Raw genomic sequence first — 23,751 nt, 5'->3', positions numbered from 1 at the left:
ACAAAATTGATAGACTGCTAGCAAGACTAATAAAGAAGAAAAGAGAGAAGAATCAAATAGATGCAATAATAAATGATAAAGGGGATATCACCACTGATCCCACAGAAATACAAACTACCATCACAGAATACTATAAACACCTCTACACAAATAAACTAGAAAATGTAGAAGAAATGGATAAATTCCTTGACACATACACCCTCCCAAGACTAAACTAGGAAGAAGTTGAATCTCCGAATAGACCAATAATGGGCTCTGAAATTGAGGCAATAATTAATAGCTTACCAACCGAAAAAAGTCCAGGACCAGATGGCTTCACAGCCGAATTCTACCAGAGGTATAAGGAGGAGCTGATACCATTCCTTCTGAAACTATTCCAATCAATAGAAAAAGAGGGAATCCTCCCTAACTCATTTTATGAGGCCAGCATCATCCTGATACCAAAGCCTGGCAGAGACACAACCAAAAAAGAGAATTTTAGACCAATGTCCCTGATGAACATCGATGCAAAAATCCTCAATAAAATACTGGCAAACCAAATCCAGCAGCACATCAAAAAGCTTATCCACCGTGATCAAGTGGGTTTCATCCCTGGGATGCAAGGCTGGTTCAACATACACAAATCAATAAACGTAATCCAGCATATAAACAGAACCAATGACAAAAACCACATGATTATCTCAATAGATGCAGAAAAGGCCTTTAACAAAATTCAACAATGCTTCTTGCTAAAAACTCTCAATAAATTAGGTATTGATGGGAAGTATCTCAAAATAATAGGAGCTATCTATGACAAACCCACAGCCAATATCGTACTGAATGGGCAAAAACTGGAAGCATTCCCTTTGAAAACTGGCACAAGACAGGGATGCCCTCTCTCACCACTCCTATTCAACATAGTGTTGGAAGTTCTGGCCAGGGCAATCAGGCAGGAGAAGGAAATAAAGGGTATTCAATTAGGAAAAGAGGAAGTCAAATTGTCCCTGTTTGCAGATGACATGATTGTATATCTAGAAAACCCCATTGTCTCAGCCCAAAATCTCCTTAAGCTGATAGGCAAATTCAGCAAAATCTCAGGATACAAAATCCATGTGCAAAAATCACAAGCATTCTTATATACCAATAACCAACAAACAGAGAGCCAAATCATGAGTGAACTCCCATTCACAATTGCTTCAAAGAGAATAAAATACCTAGAAATCCAACTTACAAGGGATGTGAAGGACCTCCTCAAGGAGAACTACAAACCACTGCTCAAGGAAATAAAAGAGGATACAAACAAATGGAAGAACATTCCATGCTTATGGGTAGGAAGAATCAATATCGTGAAAATGGCCATACTGCCAAGGTAATTTATAGATTCAATGCCATCCCCATCAAGCTACCAATGACTTTCTTCACAGAATTGGAAAAAACTACTTTAAAGTTCATATGGAGCCAAAAAAGAGTCCACATTGCCAAATCAATCCTAAGCCAAAAGAACAAAGCTGGAGGCATCACACTACCTGACTTCAAACTATACTACAAGGCTACAGTAACCAAAACAGCATGGTACTGGTACCAAAACAGAGATATATACCAATGGAACAGAACAGAGCCCTCAGAAATAATGCTGCATATCTACAACCATCTGATCTTTGACAAACCTGACAAAGGCAATAGGGAAAGGATTCCCTATTTAATAAATGGTGCTGGGAAAACTGGCTAGCCATATGTAGAAAGCTGAAACTGGATCCCTTCCTTACACCTTATACAAAAATTAATTCAAGATGGATTAAAGACTTAAATGTTAGACCTAAAACCATAAAAACCCTAGAAGAAAATCTAGGCATTACCATTCAGGACATAGGCATGGACAAGGACTTCATGTCTAAAACAGCAAAAGCAACAGCAACAAAAGCCAAAATTGACAAATGGGATCTAATTAAACTAAAGAGCTTCTGCACAGCAAAAGAAACTACCATCAGAGTGAACAGGCAACCTACAGAATGGGAGAAAATTTTTGCAATCTACTCATCTGTCAAAGGGCTAATATCCAGAATCTTCAATGAACTCAAACAAATTTACAAGAAAAACAACCCCATCAAAAAGTGGGTGAAGGACATGAACAGACACTTCTCGAAAGAAGACTTTTATGCAGCCAACAGACACATGAAAAAATGCTCACCATCACTGGCCATCAGAGAAATACAAATCAAAACCACAGTGAGATATCATCTCACACCAGTTAGAATGGCAATCATTAAAAAGTCAGGAAACAACAGGTGCTGGAGAGGATGTGGAGAAATAGGAACACTTTTACACTGTTGGTGGGATTGTAAACTAGTTCAACCATTGTGGAAGTCAGTGTGGCGATTCCTCAGGGATCTGGAACTAGAAATACCATTTGACCCAGCCATCCCATTACTGGTTATATACCCAAAGGATTATAAATCATGCTGCGCTAAAGACACATGCACACGTATGTTTATTGCAGCACTATTCACGATAGCAAAGACTTGGAACCAACCCAAATGCCCATCAATGATAGACTGGATTAAGAAAATGTGGCACATATACACCATGGAATACTATGCAGCCATAAAAAAGGATGAGTTCATGTCCTTTGTAGGGACATGGATGAAGCTAGAGACCATCATTCTCAGCAAACTATCGCAAGGACAAAAAACCAAACACCGCATGTTCTCACTCATAGGTGGGAATTGAACATTGAGAACACATGGACACAGGAAGGGGAACATCACACACCGGGGCCAGTTGTGGGGTTGGGGGAGTGGGGAGGGATAGCATTAGGAGATATACCTAATGTTAAATGACGAGTTAATGGGTGCAGCACACCAACATGGCACATGTATACATATGTAACTAACCTGCACATTGTGCACACGTACCCTAAAACTTAAAGTATAATAAAAAAAAAAGTGAGATTATGTGGTATTGGTCTTTCTGTTCCTGGCCTTATTTAACTAACATTATGTCTTCTAAGACCATCCATGTTGCAAATCACAGGATTTCCTTCTTTTTATGGCTTAATAGCATTTCATTGTTTATATATACCACATTTCCTGTATCCGTTCATCTACTGATGGGCACTTAGGTTGATTCCACATTTTGGCATTATCGGAGCATTAAATATATCTCTCTCAGAATGAACTGCAAGAAACATTGGAGTTCAGATATGTTTTCAACATACTGATTTAATTTCTTTTGTATATATATACTCAGTAGTAGGATTGCTGAATCAGATGATAGTTCTTTATTTGATTTTATGAGGAACCTCCATACTATTTTTCATAATGGCTGTACTAATTTACATTCCCAGCGAGTGTGTGAGGGTTCCCTTTTCTCCACATCCTTGCCAACACTTGTTGTCTTTTGTCTGACAAACTATGTTTGGACACATAATGTGGTTAGCAAGTCTGTGATGGCACCGTTTGATCAGGGTAATGCTTAACCACTACATCAGGGATCTAACAATATAGTGGCTTAAGGAACAACAAGCTTATTTCTCTTTCATGTAGCAGCCCTGATTGTAATTTCCAGGTCAGCACAGAATCTCTGTTCTTCATGGTCGCTATGTGACACAGGTTCCTGCCACTGGTTGCTCCACAATCCCCTAGACTATTCTTTGTCATTTGTAAGGTATAACTTAAATCACTGCCTCTTTGAAGTTCCAGTTAGTGGGAAGGGGAAATCGGGTATTGAAGAGACATATTCATAGTCTTACGCGCTCTGCCTCTCCTATCCATAGGTGAAAAGTTAGTCACATGGCTACACTCAAGAGATTCTGGGAAACGCCATCTTGCTGTGACATCATGAAACATGAAAAAAAAGAGGGAATAGATTTTGCTGGTGCTACAGTATTGTTCCCAGGAGTATAAATACTCCTTTTAGTTTCTGCCATTGTGTTGCATGTTGCCTATATATACTTTAGTGTATAAGAGAATAAATGAAGAAATTGATCCTTGTAGCATCAAAGCAGCACATGAAGAAATCAGAGTTATAATAGAAATGTTGCTCTTCACATTTTGCTCTATTTATTCAAAAATTACCTGGTAGCTAAATCCAGTCACTGAGTGAATACAGAATTCATACCTCTCCTATGAAGTCACCAACAGATTATGAAATCTGGAAAATAGATAAATGTTAATTTACTTTTTTAAGGATTTACAATGCCCTTGGTGACATTATGTTTATTCATATATGTTTTCAGACTTTGTAGTCACCCTGTAGAATTCCAAGGGAGATTTTCAGAGTTATAATTTTCATCCATCAAGAGATTCTTTTAGTGCTAATACATTTTATATTGATTGACAGAAAGTTAGGGCCACCGCCTTTCCTAGAAAAGATGATTAGGTCCTTTAAAATAGGTTTTTCATTCGTTGGTATCTAACCTTGTCTTGGAATATGAGTATGAAATGTATCCATTTACTTTTGAGGACTTAATACTGTCGATTACAAGTCTTTCAAGGCAGTTGTATTTTGGTTCTTAGAAAAGTAACCCGTCTTTGGAGGCCTGTATTTGTACACTTGTTTTATTCAGTGTTTCAAATTTTTTGCATTTCTTTACGACATGCATTGACTATTAGGTATATTGACTACTTAAAGTGTACATATTGTGGTCATTATAGGATATTACTTAAACAGTTGTTAAATCATAAACTCAAGTGAACTTTGGAGATCCAATCAAAACAAAGAGAACATCTGAATCTAGTTCAGGGAATGGTGAATGTGTTACTCCTCCACGTGGTTGCTCTTCAGGTACTTGATATTACTCAATTATAAATTCAAACTTTTATTTATTTGACATTTTCATTTACTTCATGGATGTTGTGGTGTACCTTATCCTGGACATTGAGGATACAGTGAAAAAATCCAAATGTTAGTAGTTACTGTAGATGAATACAAGTGGGACTTAGTAGTTATCTTAGTGTTAACTTCATCTCTTATTTTCTGCCTCTCTCCCTCCAGTATCCTGATTCCAGCAGGACCAACAAGCCTCTACTCTCAATACCATGTTCTCATCCCCATCATGTCCTCAATTCCCTCCTTGCAAGCCTAAGTCCTTGGCCAATCATTATAATTACTCGCTGCCATGCACTCATGCCTTTGCCCTCTGTCATTTCCTCATATTCATTTGGCAAAAGCTTAACCTGGTTAAATGTGAGTCTTCCTAAACCCACACAGCTGAATGTCAGTAGACAAAAATGACACTTTACATGCATGACGATTGGCCTCAAATGGATTCTCAGTGCTACTCAGTAATTTTATGATGTTTTCCTGGCCCAATCCCTTCCTCCCTCCTGCAGAAGACTATTTCATACCTCCCCCTGCTCTCTCCAAATCCCCTTCCTTATCCTCACTCTAGGTTGACAACCTTGCTTCCTATTACCCTGTGAAATTATAAGCCAGAAGAAAACTAGCATCTAGAACTATGCTGGAAGCACTATGTACACAGTAGGCACTCAAAAAATATGTGTTGAATGAAAACTGTCCTGGACAAGAACTTGTCCAACACCTAGAAAAGGGAGATAAAGCATATTTAATGTTGAAAAAGAATTTAATGTTGCAAAGAAGCATCCCAAGGTGCTTGTTGGGATGAAGGCCATAGAGGCAAATATTGTTTAGTGAGCTAGTAATTTAAGAATATTAACTGAAATCAAACATTAATTTTTATTTAAGGCTGAGTGTTGTGGCTCACACCTGGAATTCTAGCACTTTGGGAGGCTGAGGTGGGAGGATTGCTTGAGGAGGAGTTTGAGACCAGCCTGGACAACATGTGGAGACCCTGTCTCTACAAAAAAAATAAAATTAAAAAATAGCTGAGCATAGTGGTACATGCCTGTAATCCTAGATATGTAGGAGGCTGAGGTGGGAGGATTGCTTAAGCCCAGGAGTTTGAGGCTGCAGTGAGCTATGATTGCACCACTGCACCCCAGCCTGAACAACAGAATAAGACCCTGTCTCTAACATCAATCAAATTAATTAATTGATTAAGATAATGTTTCCCATCAGTACTAATGTATTCAATGTTATTACAACTAAATATGTATGTTATGAAATGTATCTACCTTTGTATTTCTGTAATTTCTTATACTTTGGTATCCAAATATTGTTCTTCAGCTGGCACTTATTTTACATGACATGCAGTCAGTTTCATTTTGGTAAGTTTTTCTTGTGGAAATAAAGATTATCCTAATTAATCCACACCTAGTAGAAATCTTGTGTGATTAAACTATATGGCTGCCTATAAAAGGAATCTGTGAAATGGAGTCAACCTTCTCCCTCTTTTCCCCCACAAGCCAGACCATGATAAAGGATATGTGTATGGAATTTACCTGGAATACTTGGCTCAGTAAGTCAGAATTCATGGGAGCATAGCAAAGAGGCCAGTGTAGAATAACAGTTCAAAAAGAATTTGTGTAGCTATGGTTCCAGGTCATCAGCAAATATAAAATTAAAAGCTGACACCTAAAGACAAGTATTGTAGCAGCGTGATTAATTAAACGCAAGCAATTTTGGCTACATATTAAAGAAAGCTAATGGTCAGAAGTCATTTACTCTGTCAAGATGAATATGATTGCAAGAAGTAATGCTAGTTAGAGTGGGGAAAAAGCATTACAATTTCATTTTCTTTTTCTTTAATGGTAACAGGTGTCCATGAGTAATGGGAAGAAAAGACCTGGCTACCTGTGACCTACAAATCTGAATTCTTCATTTAGTAAGATGATGTGTATTTGCTTGAGGTCTTCCACCTGTTTCTGTACATCTAATGAATGGCTAAAGGTTGAACAGACTTTGAAGCAACATTTCCTCTTTCTTCTTGTAAGATACACCGTAGGAAGGGCACAGAGGGAGGAAGCTATTTTCCTGTGCACACACATGGACACATTACATATCTCACATATTCATACATATTTATATATATAACATATATATGAATATATAGACATTACAGAACATATATAGATATAATCTGTATAATTTGCTCTCATTGCTTAATTTCTATGTGGTCAACATAATAGAAACTTCTGCACAGTAGAGTGGCAAATCACAGGCATGTTGGGTGGGTTGGCAAGTCGGTTGGTTTTCTTGAATATCACTTTCTAAGGAATTTTTTAAAATTCTGATGTAGGATCATAATTTTTATTATTAAATTGTGATGAACAGAGAATATAAGCTAAAGATTAACTTTATGGCACCTTTGGAAATTTGCAATTAGCAAAGTTAAAGAACTACTGGAGATTTTTAAAAATGACCCTCCATATACTATAATTGTAAAGCTATTTGAACCTAGTAGGCTAAGCAACAGAATTTATGGTCAGATTTGGGCAGTAGCATGCTGGTAAGTGTTTCACAATTGCCTCCCTGGAAAACAGACAAACAAAAACTGTGATTTATAGCATTTGCCAGCTTCCTTAGTGTAAATACTCCCACCATGGCCAATTTTGAGCTACTAACATGATGCCGCTGAATGCAAGTGAGAAAGTGTGGCATACACCCTGGCCTGTGAGAGTCAGCTTCAGCACGTCTCTGGAGGGGTGGGCAGGGTGGAGCACAATCTGTTCCTGACTCTTGTGTCAAACTGAGAGCTTCTTTTTAGGCAATTAAATCAAAGAAGAAAGGAAAACTAATTCCATAGAAGTTGTGAGAGAGAAAGAAGAAATTCTGAGAAGAGAAAAATATATGTATCTTTCTGGTTGATAGAGAGGTAGAAAGCAAACAGAGTCCCCAGAAATGGGCAAGTCTTGTGTGGAGTTGAAATAGAGGTCCTGGTACTCTATAAGCTGCCCTCTTCCCCAAGCCATAGAGCTTAAACCCCTCCTTCAGCTGCCTTTCTGGATTTTAATGACCTTCCAATGTTGAAATGCTGGTCAGCATGAACAATTTTTTTCCTTTTTTTTTTTTTGCAATGGAGTCTTGCTGTCTTGCCCAGGCTGGAGTGCAGTGGCGTGATCTCTGCTCACTGCAACATCCGCCTCCCAGGTTTAAGCGATTCTCCTGCTTCAGCTGCTCAAGTAGCTAGGATTACAGGTGTGCACCACCACGCCCAGCTAACTTTTGTATTTTTAGTAGAGATGGGATTTCACCATGTTGGCCAGGGTTGTCTCAAACTCCTGAGCTCCCATGATCTGCCCATCTCGGCCTCCCAAGTATCGAGATTACAGGTGTGAGCCACCGCGCCTGGCCTTTTTTTCACTTTAGATAAGCAAAATACAATACAAACTTTTTCTGAATGAATATATATATATATATATATGTAGACACACATGTGCATGCATTACATATCTCACATATTCATACATATTTATATGTAATATATATGAATATGTAGACATTACAGAACATATGTAGATATAATCTATAAAACAAGTGGCCCTCTATTTCTCTCTATTTTCTTCACATTTCCTTCTCTTTAAAGACATTTTATATACTCAAAAGAATTTTTCCTTCTGCCAACTAATCCACACCTTATTTTCCCCCTGGTGTTTCTCGTTGCATTGTTGATTGTGGTAAAAGCCCACATATAGCAGTAAGCTTCCATAAAAGACCAACACATCTGAAAATTGGTTCACTTACCCAAGTGTATGTGGAGCTTGCTTGGGGTCTAAAATAGAGTTAAATAACAAAGAGGAAGACAAGAATAACTTCTATTGAGTTAAAATACCAAACAATATTTTTTAAAGACATTATATTGAGCTGAAATTGACTTACATAAAAACTTTGTTTACAGGTGAGATTTTCATTAGTTTAATAATTTTCAGCCTATCTTTGCATTCAAAGTGTGAGTTAAAAAAAACTCACTTATTTTAAAACTCTGTCTCAACTTTTCTTCCTCCTTTAGACATGCTCCATTTACCGTGATTTCTAGACCATAATGTGTGCATATGGTTTATACCTCTGAAATATATTTCCCTAAATTCTTCAGTGAGTTAAAAGTAAACTCTATGAGAATAGGGAGTATACAGTGAGGAAAACTGCATTCCCTATAGACACATGCTAACAGCCATTGCTTAGTGTTAGTTACGTTTAAAAAATATACGCACATGGTAAACTTATGTGAAAGTGTTTGCAAGTTTTTCAAGGGAGGCTGTGGCTTGCTCAAACGCATAACTTTTAACAACATCTTTCAAACCTGCCAAATCACGTTGCCTATTTGGCCAATTCAGTGTGTATAATATTAATTTACTGTGCCACAAAGGTAGTGCACCTTAACTATTATTAGGGGAGAGTATAATATATTTGATTTCCCTTTATGAGTCTCACATTGCTTATAATTGAGTAGGGCTACTACATTTTCTGGGCAGGCTATCAAATAGGATGTTGTAATGATTTGCTTGACTACTAGAGCAGATGAAAATATATCAGTTCTGTCTGTAGTTGTTCTGTTTTTGAATTTGAAATCTGCACAGTTTGAAACCATTCATTCCTCTATGGTTCCCTTTAAAATATAAAAGTATTTTTTTATGTTTTAAAGACTTAAGAATATTACACAAAATCAGTTAAGTAAATGGTTAAAACAGTGTGAACTTCAGAGAACATAAGAGGGGTCTTGGATTTAATTCGAAAACATCAAGGAAGTGGCAGTAGTACAATGCAAAGATTTGGGCCTGATAAAAAGAAAACAGGTTTCACTTGTAACTGGCATCTCAGGGAATCCTGAATGCTCCAATTGTTGGTCTGCACTGCTTTGCAGTTTACTGAGATGTTAAGATATTTTGTGCTCCATAAAATACTACTTACCAAAATTATTTTAGACACATAATTCCTCTGTTTTGCTTACAGGATACATACAGACTCAAAACTTATCAGTACACTTACTTCCTCTTTAAAACAGTATCATGAAGACAATACAAGTAAATGGAAAGATACCCTGTGTTCATAGGTTGGAAGAATTAATATTGTTAAAATGTCCATACTACTCAAAATGATATACAGATTCAATGTACTCTCTATCAAAATTCCAGTTTAATTTCCACAGAAATAGAAAAAATAATTCTAAACTTTGTGTGGAACCACAGAAGACCCTGAATATCCAAAGCAAACCTCGAGCAAACATGACGCTGAAGGCATCACACTACCTGACTTCCAAACCTATTACAAAGTTATAGTAATCAAAACAGCATGGTACTGGCATAAAAACAGACACATTGATCAATGGAACAGAATAGAGAACCTGCAAATAAACCCATGCATTTATGGTCAATTGATTTTCCACAAAGGTGCCAGGAACATACAATGGAAAAAGCACAGTCTCTTCAATAAATAGTGTTGGGAAAACTGGATATCCACGTGCAGAACAGTGAAATTTGATCCTTATCTCACATCATGTACAAAAATCAACTCAAAGTGGATTAAAGACTTAAACGTAAGAGCTGAAACTGTAACATTACTAGAAGAAAACATAGACATGACATCTGTCTGGGCAGAGATTTCTGGGATATATCCCCAAAAGCGCAGGCAGCAAAAGCAAAAATAGACAAATGGAATTGCGCCAAACTAAAAGGCTCCTCCTGCACAGCAAAGGGCATTATTAAGAGAGTGAATAGACAACCCATGGGTTCGGAGAAAATACTTGCAAACCACATCTGACAAGGGACTAATATTCAAAATATATAAGGAACTCAAATAATAGGAAGAAAACAGATACCCCATTAAAAATGAGCAAGGGACTTGAAGAGATATTTCTCAAAAAAAGACATACAGGCAGCCAACAGACATATAGAAAAATGCTCATCATCAGTAATCATCAGAGAAATGCAAATTAAAACCGCAATGAGATATCACCTCACACCTGTGAGAATCACTGTTACTAAAAAGATGAAAGATAAAAAGTGTTGGCAAGGTTGTGGAGAAAAGGGAACCCTCATACATTATAGGTGGGAATGCATATTAGTATAGCCATTATGGAACACAGTATTGAGGTCCCTCAAAGAACTAAAAATAGAATTACCATATATGATCCAGCAATCCCACTTCTGGGTGTATATCCAAAGGAAATGAAATAGGTATATTGAAGAGATAACTGCACTCCCATGTTAATCATAGCATTATTCACAGTAGTCAAGATATGAAACCAACCTAAATGTCCATCAGTGAATGAGTGATAAGAAAATGTATACAACAGAATACTCTTCAGCCCTGAAAAAGAAGGAAATCCTGTCATTTGTGATACCATGGATGAACCCAGAGGACGTCATGCTAAGTGAAATAAGCAAGACATGAATAGACAAATACTGCATGATCGCACTTACATGCAGTATCTTAAAAAGTTGAACCCATGGAATAGAGACTAGAATGGAGGTTGCCAGAGGCTGGGAGAGAAGAGTGGATGGGGAAAGGGGAGATGTTGATTAAAGGGTACAAAGTTTCAGCAAGGCAGTAGAAATAAGTTTCCATGACCTATTGCACAGAATGGTGACTATAATTAATAATAATGCATTCCATATTTCAAAGTTGCATAAAGATTAGATTTTAAATGTTCTCACTACAAAAAGTTTGTAAGTATATGAAGTGATGGATATGTTCATTAGCTTGACTCAATCATTCCACAATGTATACGTGTATATTTATACATGTATGAAACATCACATTGTACCCCATAAACATATAAAATTATTATTTGTCATTAAAAAATAAAATAATTTTTTAAAAAAATAAGTAAGATCAGTTTAAAAAATTATCATCGTGGATTCTTTGGATTGGAAGTTCCTTTTCGGTACACTAAATTTTTAAAACCTTGTCCTCTACATATCACTGAAATGGAATCCCATAATTGTAGCAGTTTTATTCTCTTATATAATTCAGTTTCTTTTTCAACAAACATTTATTGAGCACTACTAGGTGCCAGGCATGTTCTGGGTACTTAGTGCATATCGATGGATAATATGAAGGTCTCTGCTCTCTTGAAGTTTATTTCCATCAGAAGAGACAGACAGGAAACAATAAACACAATGAATAGATAAATGATATAGTATGTTAGAAGTTGGTACACACTAGAGAGAAATGAAAAAGCAGAGCAGCGTGAAGACATTTATCAGTGCTGGGCTAAGGAGGGGCAGGTCTATGTTAGAGTGGTCGGGACTACTCTTGGTCCACGTGAAGGATGTTGACCAAGTGGAATGTGGGGGAAGAGCATTCTAGGCAGAGGGAACAGCTAGACCAAAGGCCTATTACTGAAGGCCTGGCAAGGTTGGGAAACAGCAGAGAGCCAGTGTGGCTGGAGTAGAGCCAGTGGAGGGGAGAGTTGTAAGACAGCAGGTGAGAGGAGTAATGAAGCTGGGGTTACAGGTAGCTTTCGTCTGAATATAATGGGGAGCCATTGTTGACCAGAAGAATGACATGAAATGACTTCTAATTTAAAAGGATCACTCAGGCTGTGGGGTGAGAACAGATGGGAGAGGTCAAAGGTAGATGGAGGGATACCTGTAAAGGGCCTGCTACCATTGATCTGCTGAGAAATGATAATCATGACTTGGACCAGAGTAGGAGAAGTAGAGGTCATGAGGGATGGTAGAAATCTGGATATATTTTGAAGTAGAGTCAAAGAGATTTCCAGATAGATTCGAAGAGAGTTGTGAGAGAGACGGAAGCATCCAGAATGATTCTAAGGTTGAGCATGTTGTTTCCGAAGGGGATGGAGGTGTGCAGGGTCAGGAATCCAGTTTTAGACTGAATATCTAGGCTACTAGATATCCAGGCAGAGATGTCAAACAGGCAATCAGATATTTAAGCCTGACTTTGAAAGGGAAGTCTGGACTGGAAATGTAAATTGGTGAATTGTTTTTTGGCATAGTTGAAACCATGGATTTGGATGAGATCACCAAGAGAGTGAGTGTAGGTAGAGAACTTCTTCAGTGGGTTTCAGGTATTTGATGTAATTTATTCAGTGAGTAAAGATAAATGCTCCCTCTTCTCAAAGATTTCATCATTTGTTTTGGCTACACAGATTGTTCACAACCTAGAGATACCATTCACATAGACTACAGTGTCTGGTGTTGAATACTGCAATGGCTGCAATGGCTGGGGAATCGGGGAGCAGTGTGGAGAGACAGAGTATTGTATGATAAATGTTATTTTTTATTTTTTGAGACAGGGTCTCCCTCTGTCGCCCAGGCTAGAGTGCAGTGACATGGTCTCAACTAACTGCAACCACTGCCTCCCAGGTTCAAGCAATTCTCCTGCCTCAGCCTCCCAAGTAGCTGGGACTACAGGTGCACATCACCACGCCTGACTAATTTTTGTATTTTTTGTAGAGATGGGGTTTTACCATGTTGGCCAAACTGGTCTCAAATTCCTGGCCTCAAGTGCTCCACCTGCCTTGGCCTCCCAAAGTGCTGGGATTACAGGTGTGAGCCACCATGCCCAGCCAGATATATGCTATTCTTGATATATGTGATACAATGTAAAATAATTAGTGCATGCAATGGAACTGTAGAGAAAGGAGCAGTCAACTGACTTAGTAATAATAAAGCAGAGTAAATTTAGAATACTCTGTTCTCAAATAATGTATCAGAACAGAACAGTGTATAATAACATTGTGTATAGTAAAATAAACTGTGCTAAAGGATCATTCAACATTGTCCTTTAATTATGTTTATGGCTACTACTTTGGGTCACCCGGCTTGTCTTCTACATCCCTTCCTCCTATTGCTGAAACGGTTACTAAAGCCCATTGCAACACTGTTCCTAGGTAAAGGCAGAGGTAGTGTGGGAAGGAAAGCACAGGAATGACATCAGCATTCTACATTTTTGTACCTATGTGTTCCATTAGGAGTTGGCAGGGATGAGGTATGTTCCACAATCAATCAGTCCGTCTATGTAGTTACACACTCACTATTGTCTCTTTTCTGTGACCTAGGTTGTAAAGGAATGGGTAGAAAAAAAGGGCAAGGGTGGAGATAAGATCTTCTGCTTTACGTTGTAAGCATTCTAAATCTCTGAAATGAAAAAGAACAACCTCATGTTTTCTGGGAAGTGATACTTTTGATGTGGTTTTTCCACTCCTAGCTCATAGGAAAAAAGGATATTGTTGAGTTATGAGATATCTATCAGTGGTCATGGGCAAAGTTGGTGACAGTTTTAAGAACTACTTCCTCATGTGTACACACACACACACACACATTTACATTTTAAATGGTCTTTACTTGCCAGAAATCAGCCTTGTGACTTAGGGCAAGTAATCTCAAATATAAAGAATACGCAGGCCACAGATGATGTAACATTTTGATTTTAAAATTTTAAATGATTATCTGTGTTTTCTGTCGTTAGTTTTTGTCAGAACAATAACATAGTTCCTCAAAGAAGGTAGACAATTTGGGATAAACGTAAGCAGTCATGTAAGACTAGAATTGATGCAGAACATAGGTAACATTTCACACTGTCAACAGCAACACTAAATTACTAGGCCTGAACCATATTTTTATGCGTATTGCTATTTTCTGCTCAATGTCTTCCCTTTACATGTAAAGCCTTTCTCAATGTGTCCCTTCTGTGCTGAGCTTTGAAATCCTTCAGGCTTTCAAGCATCCTTGTTGCAGCGTCAGGCTGTGTTCTCCAGCACCTAGCACGTTACTCTGCATGCACACAGCTCTGGACAATCATCTGTCAGTCTATTAGATGCTGATTGATTAGTTGTTTTCCAACATTTACACAGCAGGATATGTGATTAACAATATCATACTTCTGTATTCAGGTCCTTACTGTGCTTTATTTACTATCATTTTATGAATGTTTCTCTGTCCTTATCTGCTTATTTATATAAGGTTCAAACTAATGAATTAAATGCAGAATAAATAGCTGCCAGTTCAATTTATCTTGAGAATTTAGCTGACATAATGGCATCGGCAGAAACCCTAATGAGCATTAATTTACTTATTCATCAAATACTTATTGAGCATACTGAGTACCAGCCATTGTGCAAAGTGGTGAGGATACAAACATGAAGAGGGCAGATGGAGTCTCTGTCCTCGTGGAGCTTCTAGATAAGAAAAGAAACAGTGGTAGTGTCACACAATAATACAAGTTCAGGGAGCTCCTGTTTCAGAGTTAGATTAGCATATGTGGAAGAAAACCCAAATCGCAGTAGTTTAAGGAAAATAGAAATTTTTCTCCAACATGAGTGTCTGGAGGTAGATAACCCAGAACTCCACTATGTCTGTCTTGTTGCTGTGCTGTGTGTGGCCTCTATGCCCAAAGTTACCTTGTTGTCTAACATGGCAGCCTGTGTCCATATTCCACTAGTAAGATGGGAGAAAGAGAAGACCAGGCTCCTTCTCTTTAAAAAACTTCCCAGATGTTGCTCAAACCACTTTCCCTTACATCCCTTTGGCCAGAACTTAGTCACATTGTGATGCTGAGCAGCAAAAGAAGCTGGGAAATGCAATATTTTTTCTGAGTGGCCAGGAAGAAGAGGGGATGCCTACTAAGAGAAAAATTAACCATCTTTGCCCCAGGATTTCTGGGAAAATGGTTGCCTAAATTGAGATCTGAAGGTTAGTAGGATTCTCAGAAGTATATGTACATGTGTCCTTACGGAAGAAAAACATTCCTGAGTAAAGAAAAAGTTCTAGGAATTGAACACTGAGAAGAAACTGGTCTCTCACCAATCATGATTAATCATTGTGTGACAATGTTTGTACTTTTTTTTTTTTGGAAAAGAGTGTGGTGCAGGTTATTTCAGAGGAAGGTGGGGGTGGTGTTAATGATCAGTCAAGTTTTGTGGTTGAACAGGCTGCCCAGGGGATCTTCTCAGAAAAGATGAAGTCTGGGAGAAGGGTTTATGACATGGTGGTGTTAATTTTTTCCCAATATTGGCTCAGGCGAAGGCATGTACTTGAGGCAGTTCAAGGGCCAGGGCATCCAGGGGCTATCCCAAGGTAAAAGTTCAGGGGATAACCCATGCATTTTTGTGCCTGTGGTAGGGTCAAATTACCAGTTTCATTCAAATCTTAGAGATATAGTCATGCTCACTAACATGACATGAATCTGCAGAAACAATGAAAACATTTACAATATATTAAATTTACAGTATCAGTCTGCTTTGGGGCTTTTCTAATTTTTATAATGTTCAGCCTTATAAAATCAGTATTTTGTCTAGTTTAAACAAATCTAATAGTAATTCTTGTTTACTTGTTATTGTGATAAATCAGCAGTTGCCTGAAATAAAAATAACATATGGAACATTTTTAGCTTTCTGAAATGTAGTATGTTATTTGAGAAAATATGTGTTTTATGTTTTTCTAATTATTTTCATACTGTCATGTGGTTATGTTTTGATTCTGCTTTTTATTCCCAAAATGAATGGAAGTTACAAATAGTCCAGCCCATTTAAAATTAAGCATGACTTGAAGACATTTTATCTCTAAAATGACTTTTTTCTGGTTTTAAGATCAAACACCAAATTTAAATGTAAAATCAGCTAGAGAGTCTAAGAAAAGCACTGATCTAAATTTATATTTAAGTTCTTATGTATTTTTTTCATATTCCTTCTCAAATACTATGAAGTTGTAACTTTTTTCCCCAGAGAAGGTGTTACTATGGTTGGTGGTTGGCAGTACAATTTTTATATCATGAATGAGTAGGGGAGATTGAATCATTTAATTCCTCTGTGGCTGGTGAGTGTAATAAATGCCAGGTTGGTAAAAGCAATACTTCTAGGTCTTATTTGTCTTGATATCAGAGTGTCTTAAAATCGCAATTAGGATGGATTATTAAATGGAAGCTGATATTTCAGAGTCATCTTCTTTTCTATGTTAGATTTTTAATTTTATGAGAATAGAGAAATTATTAAAATTTGTGCTCACTAGCTCATTATTTAGTTTGTGCCTTCATAGTAGGTCATAGAATTGTCAATAAGCACATGGTACCACTCAGTTTCTTGAGGTCACTTCTAGGCCTATGTAACACGATTAATCTGATTCTATTTATATGGTTATCTTCATAAATAATAATCAGGGTCTCACAGTCTTTAGCTGTCTGTGGAGGACAGCAAGCATCCATTCCCACTCTGAGTGAATCCAGATTTAACTCTGAACTCTGATTAAAGTCACAGCTTCCATATAATTTCCAACATTTCTGTTCTCTCTGCCTGTAATGCATTTTATCACTAACTTAAATTCTACAAATTACTTGTTTTGACTAAAAATAACAGTGAATAAATAATCACATAGAGATCCTGGACCAAATATGTTATATTTGACCATTTAGGTCCCATTTTCCTTTTGGCCATGTCACAGTTTTGCAGGTAGTTTCATAGATGGCCATTGACTCTCAAATCTAGAGGTGCATGGGACACCAAGACATCTATGCTATGATGAGAGAAGGTGTTTTTACTGGTAAACTGTTTACCAATGGAGAGAGGGCTGGGACATCAGTGCTGTTGTACTTGCAAGTGAATAACTGTGATTGGGAGCACTGCGGGGATTAAATGGAGAAGATGATTAGATTATTGGGAGAGCACATTAGCAGAGGTCAATACCACTCCTCTGCTTACAACTCCTCGAAATGTCTTCAATAAACATGGAGTACATTGGTAATAAGAAAAAACAACCAAGAGCTATTAAAAAAAGAAAATCCTTCACTGGCTCCTCGTGGCCTATGGGATAAAGTGGAAGTGACTAAACATGAACTTGAGCCTCACCTGCACACTTCCAGCCTCATCTCTTGCCATACCCTGCCTTCAACCCTAGGCTGCTGTAATGCTCAAGTGCTTCTTGCCTCTTTTCTTCTTTTTTCTGTGCAATATCTTTCCTCCATGCCTCATGCTCATGCTGTCCTCTGTCTGCCTTGAATCCCTTCCCTACCCCTCACCTGCTCCCATGCTAGGTCAGGGGCCTCTCTCTGAGGTGCTCCCATAAACTCTGAGCATTGCACCTCCTCCCATGCATTACTATTTGTTCTTATATGTCTGTTTGTTCCCCTCACTAGACTCTATCCTCAATACCAGACACATAGAGGGCAACCAGTGCAAGTTTGTCAAGTGAATAAATGAGTGTTTTGGTGCATACTAGGGGACCATCATAGGGGATTGAAAATAATTTTAAGTAATCACTGAAGTATAATCATCTGATCTATTATCTGTTTACTACCAGAAATGTGCATTAGCACATAGAAAACTGAAACAATTTTGCAAATAGGTAAACAGATTTATATAAATGTGGTCTGATTCTCCAAGTCTTGCTGTAAGCTTTAATAAGTTGTTGGTATTGTGGGTTCTTTTGGTAAACTTTTTGAGAAATGTACCAACTAGCGCTATTTGGTGTGTGTTTTTTGCTTCTACTCTAATGTCAAGTCAGTGGGAGAAGCTTTGTGTACTTGCTTTGGTAAACTGATTCTGAGTATCTTATTTCCTTATGTGCGTGGAAGTGCACTTAATGAATTTCTGCTACAGTGTGTGGTAAGGATGCTATTTTTAAAGTCTGAGTTCCCAGAGTAAATTTTTTAAATAGGATTAGGGTTTTATCTTATAACTAATATAATAAAGCTTAAATTAGAATTATAAATAATATATGTATATGTATGTGTGTGTGTGTATCTATCTATCTATCTATCTATCTATCTATCTATCTATCTATAATCCCATCATGGGGGCAAGACCCTCATGACCTCATTTCATATATATATATTTCATATATATACATATTTCATATATATATATGTGAGTCAGATTCAAAAACAGCAACAAACATAGAATATTAAACCTCAAAGTTATTCTAGGCCATTTAATCTTTTGCTTTACAGATAAGGAACTGGTATCATCATGGGTAAATGATGAGTCCATGAAGGCACCAGAACAAAAATTCTGGTCACCTGATTCTTACTTTGGGGGTAAATGTGAATTCTCAAGCAAGGAGAAGTATATGGAGACCTTAACAGTTAGCAAGGAAGATTTCTGCTCATGCTACCTTGAGTAACAGGGCTTAATAATAAAGCTAAAACAGTACCTAGAGGCTTTGCTGTCATGTCCAGCGATCCTGTGGCCTCTGCTCACCTGAGCCTGTCTCCTCCTGTCTCTAGGCAATGAGACTCCAACTGGGTGCTTGACTTGGGAAGCCTTTGGCACAAACATCATCCATATTGGATCTTATTAGTTGTAGCCAAAGTAAGACAGTTTTGGTCAATACATAGGACTTTGCAACCTAGAGCAGGCATATGCAGGGAAAACTTCCTAAGGCTTCTGCAGAAGCAAAGTGGGCCTTCAGGTAGGTACAGGCCCTTTGAGCTTTCTGGACCTGGTCAGTATGGGAAGGAAAAGACATTTGTGTGGATAAATATGGGATGGGGAAGATAAACTACATCATGGCTAAATTCAAGTTGAGTTAGTTTATAAATGGAGGTAAATGCTCTGCCTATAAGAAACTACTCACAAATACTGTTGTATGGCCTTTGGGCGAATCAGTTGAACATTATCAACCTCAGTTTTCTTATCTTAAAGGAAAGATGATAATGATACTTACCTTGTCCATTCGTTGTGCATATCAGTGACCGTGTATGTTAAATGACCATCCATATATAGGTAACTATTACTGTTATTACCTCTATAATACCATAATGATGACTACTATAATTATTTTTACAACTACTAGTACCTAATACTACTGTACTACTCCTATTGTTACATGCCAGTAGTTTGTATTATAATTGAGTAGTCTTCTCTGCTCAGTTGGATGATAGGAGAGAGAGTGTTACAATTTATTTGCAAGAAGTTATAGTTCTTTCACTGAGCAATGGTTAAGATCAGGGCTTTATGGGAATTAAAACTACTTCCTAGATGTAACGTCTTAGACAAGTTATTTAACTTATATGCTTCAATTTTCTCATTTGTACAATGGGGATACTACATTCTATCACATAAAGTTCTTGTGACGATTAAATGAGGTAATCTAAGTACTGCTTAGAACAATGCCTAGCACACAGTGATCCCACAAGAAATATTCTCTATTAAGCTATTAATGTATTGATATGTATTGTATTTTCATAACTACCTTGGGAGAGAAGAGGCATCATTTTCTTTGTTTCATGGATACTGAAACTGAGGTTTCTGATTTGCTATGTTTACTAACATACCAAAGCTGGGAGAGATTCAAAGAGCCTCCTGCTCTTCCTTCTTTTCTTTCCTCCCTTCCTTCCACATATCCTTATTATTGGGTTGGAATGGGAAGCCATAACTCCCACCCAGTTGATTTGAATTAGCACGTCTGATTATTTTTTAAATTTTCTTTCCCCTCCAGCCCTACCTCCCTGCCAGAGCACTTGTAAGAAAGTACTCGCTCACATATCTTACTTCCATTGAAATAAAATCATATTATGCTTCTGTCTTTTGCCACTAGCCTATTACTATTAGCTGTCATATCCGAAGTCCCAAGTTCTTTATCTGAACCCTCACACTCGAGAAATCGACGGGATCAAGGAAATAAGAACCAGTGTTTACATAAGTGTTTATTGGATTTTCTTTATCATCTTTCAGGTCTTGTAGAAATTTGCCTGATGCACCCCCTAGATGTGGTGAAAACCAGGTAAGGTTCTGCATGAACAAGTTTTATTGACTTTGGCTAATATCCAAATTAAGATCTGTCAGAGCACTAAATGCTAGGACTTGTCCCAGGCCGGTAGCTTCTCTCTGTAATGGCAGTTATATTTGCTTCTAAAGAAAGTACTATTTGACAGATAAAATGTGAACAGTGAAAAGCATTTCTGGGTGAAGGTCATCTGAAGTATGTAATATTTTACTGCCTTTATATGACAACCGTAAGATATGATTTGTAGCTATATTGGTAAATGAGGTAAATTTATCAAAATGATGTAAAAACTAAACTTTATCCAGTGGATTATGACAGCACATTTTCATTTGGCATTGCCTAACAGATCTCTATTTAATAGTCAGCATTTTGGTATGAGACTTCAAAATTTCAAGTAAGCTTTTTACATAGTGCTTAAAGAATTTATTCCTATTACTGTTTGCCAATGCAAAATGCCATATTTTCAGGAAACTGCAGGGGCATAATATGGTCAGTGCAAGCCAGGGCAATGTATTAAATCTATTACCAAGAGGGAAAAAAAGAAAAATAACAAAACTTTGTGGGGTATAATATGATCTAGAGCATTTTTAAAAAGTTAAACCTGTGGCTGAATTACTGAACTTTCTATTTTTTCAAATTGGAAGCTCTTGGAGTCTAGTGAAAATTTCCATTTATTTGCACTATATGAAACCCAAAAGCACCATGCCTAGGTTGGAGCCTAACAGCCAACAATGCTGTGCAATAATGGTGGTTAAAGAAACCATTACTGCCTCAATTAGGAAATATTTGATAATTCAGGCTGGTCATTGGATGGATGTGTTACTTACTCTACCTAAAAAGGCAGCAGAATCTTAGGCTGGTTGCTGAAAGCAAGAGAAGGTGACTGTGGCATGCAAAAATAATATTACATTTCTAATAGAGGTAGGGAAGATGGGAGTTTGGCCTCTGTCTTAGATGGAGCTGCTGTAACAAAATATTATAGACTGGGTGGCTTAAACAACAGACATTCATATTTACAGTTTTGGTGGCTAGGAATTCCAAGATTAAGGTCTTGGCTGATTCAGTTCTTGGTGAGGGCCCTCTTCCTAACTGTAGAGGGCCTCCTTCTTGCTGTATACTTACATGACAGAGAGAGGAAGCTCTGTTGTCTCTTCCTCTTCTTATAAAGCCATTAATCCCATCATGGGGGCAAGACCCTCATGACCTCATTTAAACCTAATCACCCCCCAAAGACCTCACTTCCAAATACCGTTGCATTGTGGGTTAGGGCTTCAACATACACATTCTGGAGGGTCACAAACATTCAGTTTGTAACAGCCTCAAATCACTAAACTCAAAGAGAAAGAAGAAAACCAGGGGCCCTGCGCGGTGGCTCACGCCTGTAATCCTAGCACTTTGGGAGGCAGAGGGAGGTGGATCATCTGAGTTCAGGAGTTTGAGACCAGCCTGGCCAACATGGTGAAACCCCGTCTCTACTAAAAATACAAAAATTAACCGGGCATGGTGGCACACCCCTGTAATCCGAGCTACTCAGGAGGCTGAGGCAGAAGAATCACTTGAACCCGGGAGGTAGAGGTTGCAGTGAGCCGAGATCGCACCACTGCACTTCAGCTTGGGCGACAGAGCAAGACCCCATCTCAAGAAAAAATAAATAAATCAATAAAAGAAAAAAGAAAAAGAAAACCACAAATTATATTCAAATGTAAGGTATGCGCACCCCTGGGCCATCTTTATTACAAGGTTCTGAAACAGAAAGCAAAACTCCCTGGGATTTCCTTCTTAGATTCCATGTTAACCTTCTTTGAGAAGCCAGATTATTGTTGCTAATGTCACTGAGAAAATAATCTTTTTCATTTGAGGGTAATTTCCTAACTTAGTAAACTGTTCCAATGAACATAGAGGAGAAATAAGAATGATTTAATCAAGACACAATATTAGAATTATGGTCACTCATTCACTCAATGTTTAATTCATCCATTCAACACACGTGTATTGAGCATCTAGTGCATGTGGGTTTCAGGATAGCTCTGCCCTCAGAGAGCTCACAGTCTGATTAGCTAATTGAGATCTCATCACAATGAACTTCAAAAGCTGTATCATTTTGTTGTACTGGAATTGAATTGAAAACTTCTTGAAATGGATATAACAAGTTACTGGGGCTTTATATCTTTTTTGTTACATAAATATTTTCATTAAAATGGCATTCATTCATTAGAGTTAGTCACATGACTTTGCCTAACTTCAGCAGGGAGGAAGATACAGTCCTTCCAGGTGCTCCGAAGGAGAGGGGAATTGGATACTGGGTGGTATTTGACCTGCATAATGATAAGTATGTTGAATAAAGATTCACAATCATAGAGTAAACTGAAAGCCACAAGTATGGGCAACTGACACTGCAACAGAAGTAGAATATGCAAGATTGATAGGATTTATCACCTAGGCACTAACAGAGAGATGACATCAAGTAGGCAGGAGCAGACTCACATGTGGGAACCTCTTCACCATCACATTATACAGGAGATGACTGTGTTTCTAAATAGAAACAAATTCATACCCAGGGAATAGTATTGATCATTTATAGAGTTTTAAAAATCCACTTTAAAGAGGAGTTTGAAAGTAAATTTTTAGAACCTGTTGTTATTCATTCAGCAAGAAAAAGATTAGGCAGAAATAGAACCCCAAAACAAGACTTGACTCCAAAAAGTAGACACATTTATTTTGCCATACTCCAGCACATGAGATATTGTGGAAAATGAGCCATATCCATATTTGGATTAATTCAGTATACTTCTCCTTAAGTAATAATAGTCACCCTCACATTTAAGGCCATTTATGATGATAATCCTCCAATCTAATCTTTCAGATTTACTTTCCACTTCTTTTTGATCCAGTTAATTTAAATAGCTTACGTGAATACAATCCTATCTTTCTTAATTCTCTGCCTTTGTTTTCCCAAAATTGCCTGCACTCTCATCCCTGCTGATTGAAATTTTACCTAGCTGATAATACCTAGAAATATAGTTATTTCTGAATGTGGTAATTTTTCCTGTAATTTTTATGATTTTCTGTGCTTTCTAAGTTTTCTATACTAAATTTTTTAAAATTCAGAATAAAACAATAAAGTGTAAAAAAATAAAATAAAATCCAATTAAAAAAAATTGTGAAGTAAGGTTTGGGTTCATGTATCCCATGCCCCACTTTGACAATGCCTGCCACAACTTAGAATCCAGTA

At 37.5% G+C, this 23,751-nt stretch overlaps 1 protein-coding gene across 4 annotated transcripts in view; it reads left to right on the top strand.

Annotated features, from left to right (window-relative positions):
- Positions 1 to 23,751, top strand: part of SLC25A21 (solute carrier family 25 member 21) — a 494,686-nt gene that overhangs the window by 277,135 nt on the left and 193,800 nt on the right. For 3 of the 4 annotated variants that reach the window (XM_047431871.1, NM_001171170.2, NM_030631.4), the window contains exon 2: positions 20,468 to 20,516. In XM_047431871.1, coding sequence (XP_047287827.1) covers positions 20,468 to 20,516 — 49 coding nt within the window. Of the gene's footprint in view, positions 1 to 6,448; positions 6,722 to 20,467; positions 20,517 to 23,751 lie in introns of those variants that run through there. The other variant, XM_011537288.4, reaches the window with a different exon arrangement.

Source organism: Homo sapiens, chromosome 14 (assembly GCF_000001405.40).
Source record: "Homo sapiens chromosome 14, GRCh38.p14 Primary Assembly".
Lineage (NCBI taxonomy): Eukaryota > Metazoa > Chordata > Mammalia > Primates > Hominidae > Homo > Homo sapiens.
The sequence above is the reverse complement of the archived record's forward strand: the minus strand, read 5'-3'. Positions and strand labels throughout refer to the sequence as shown.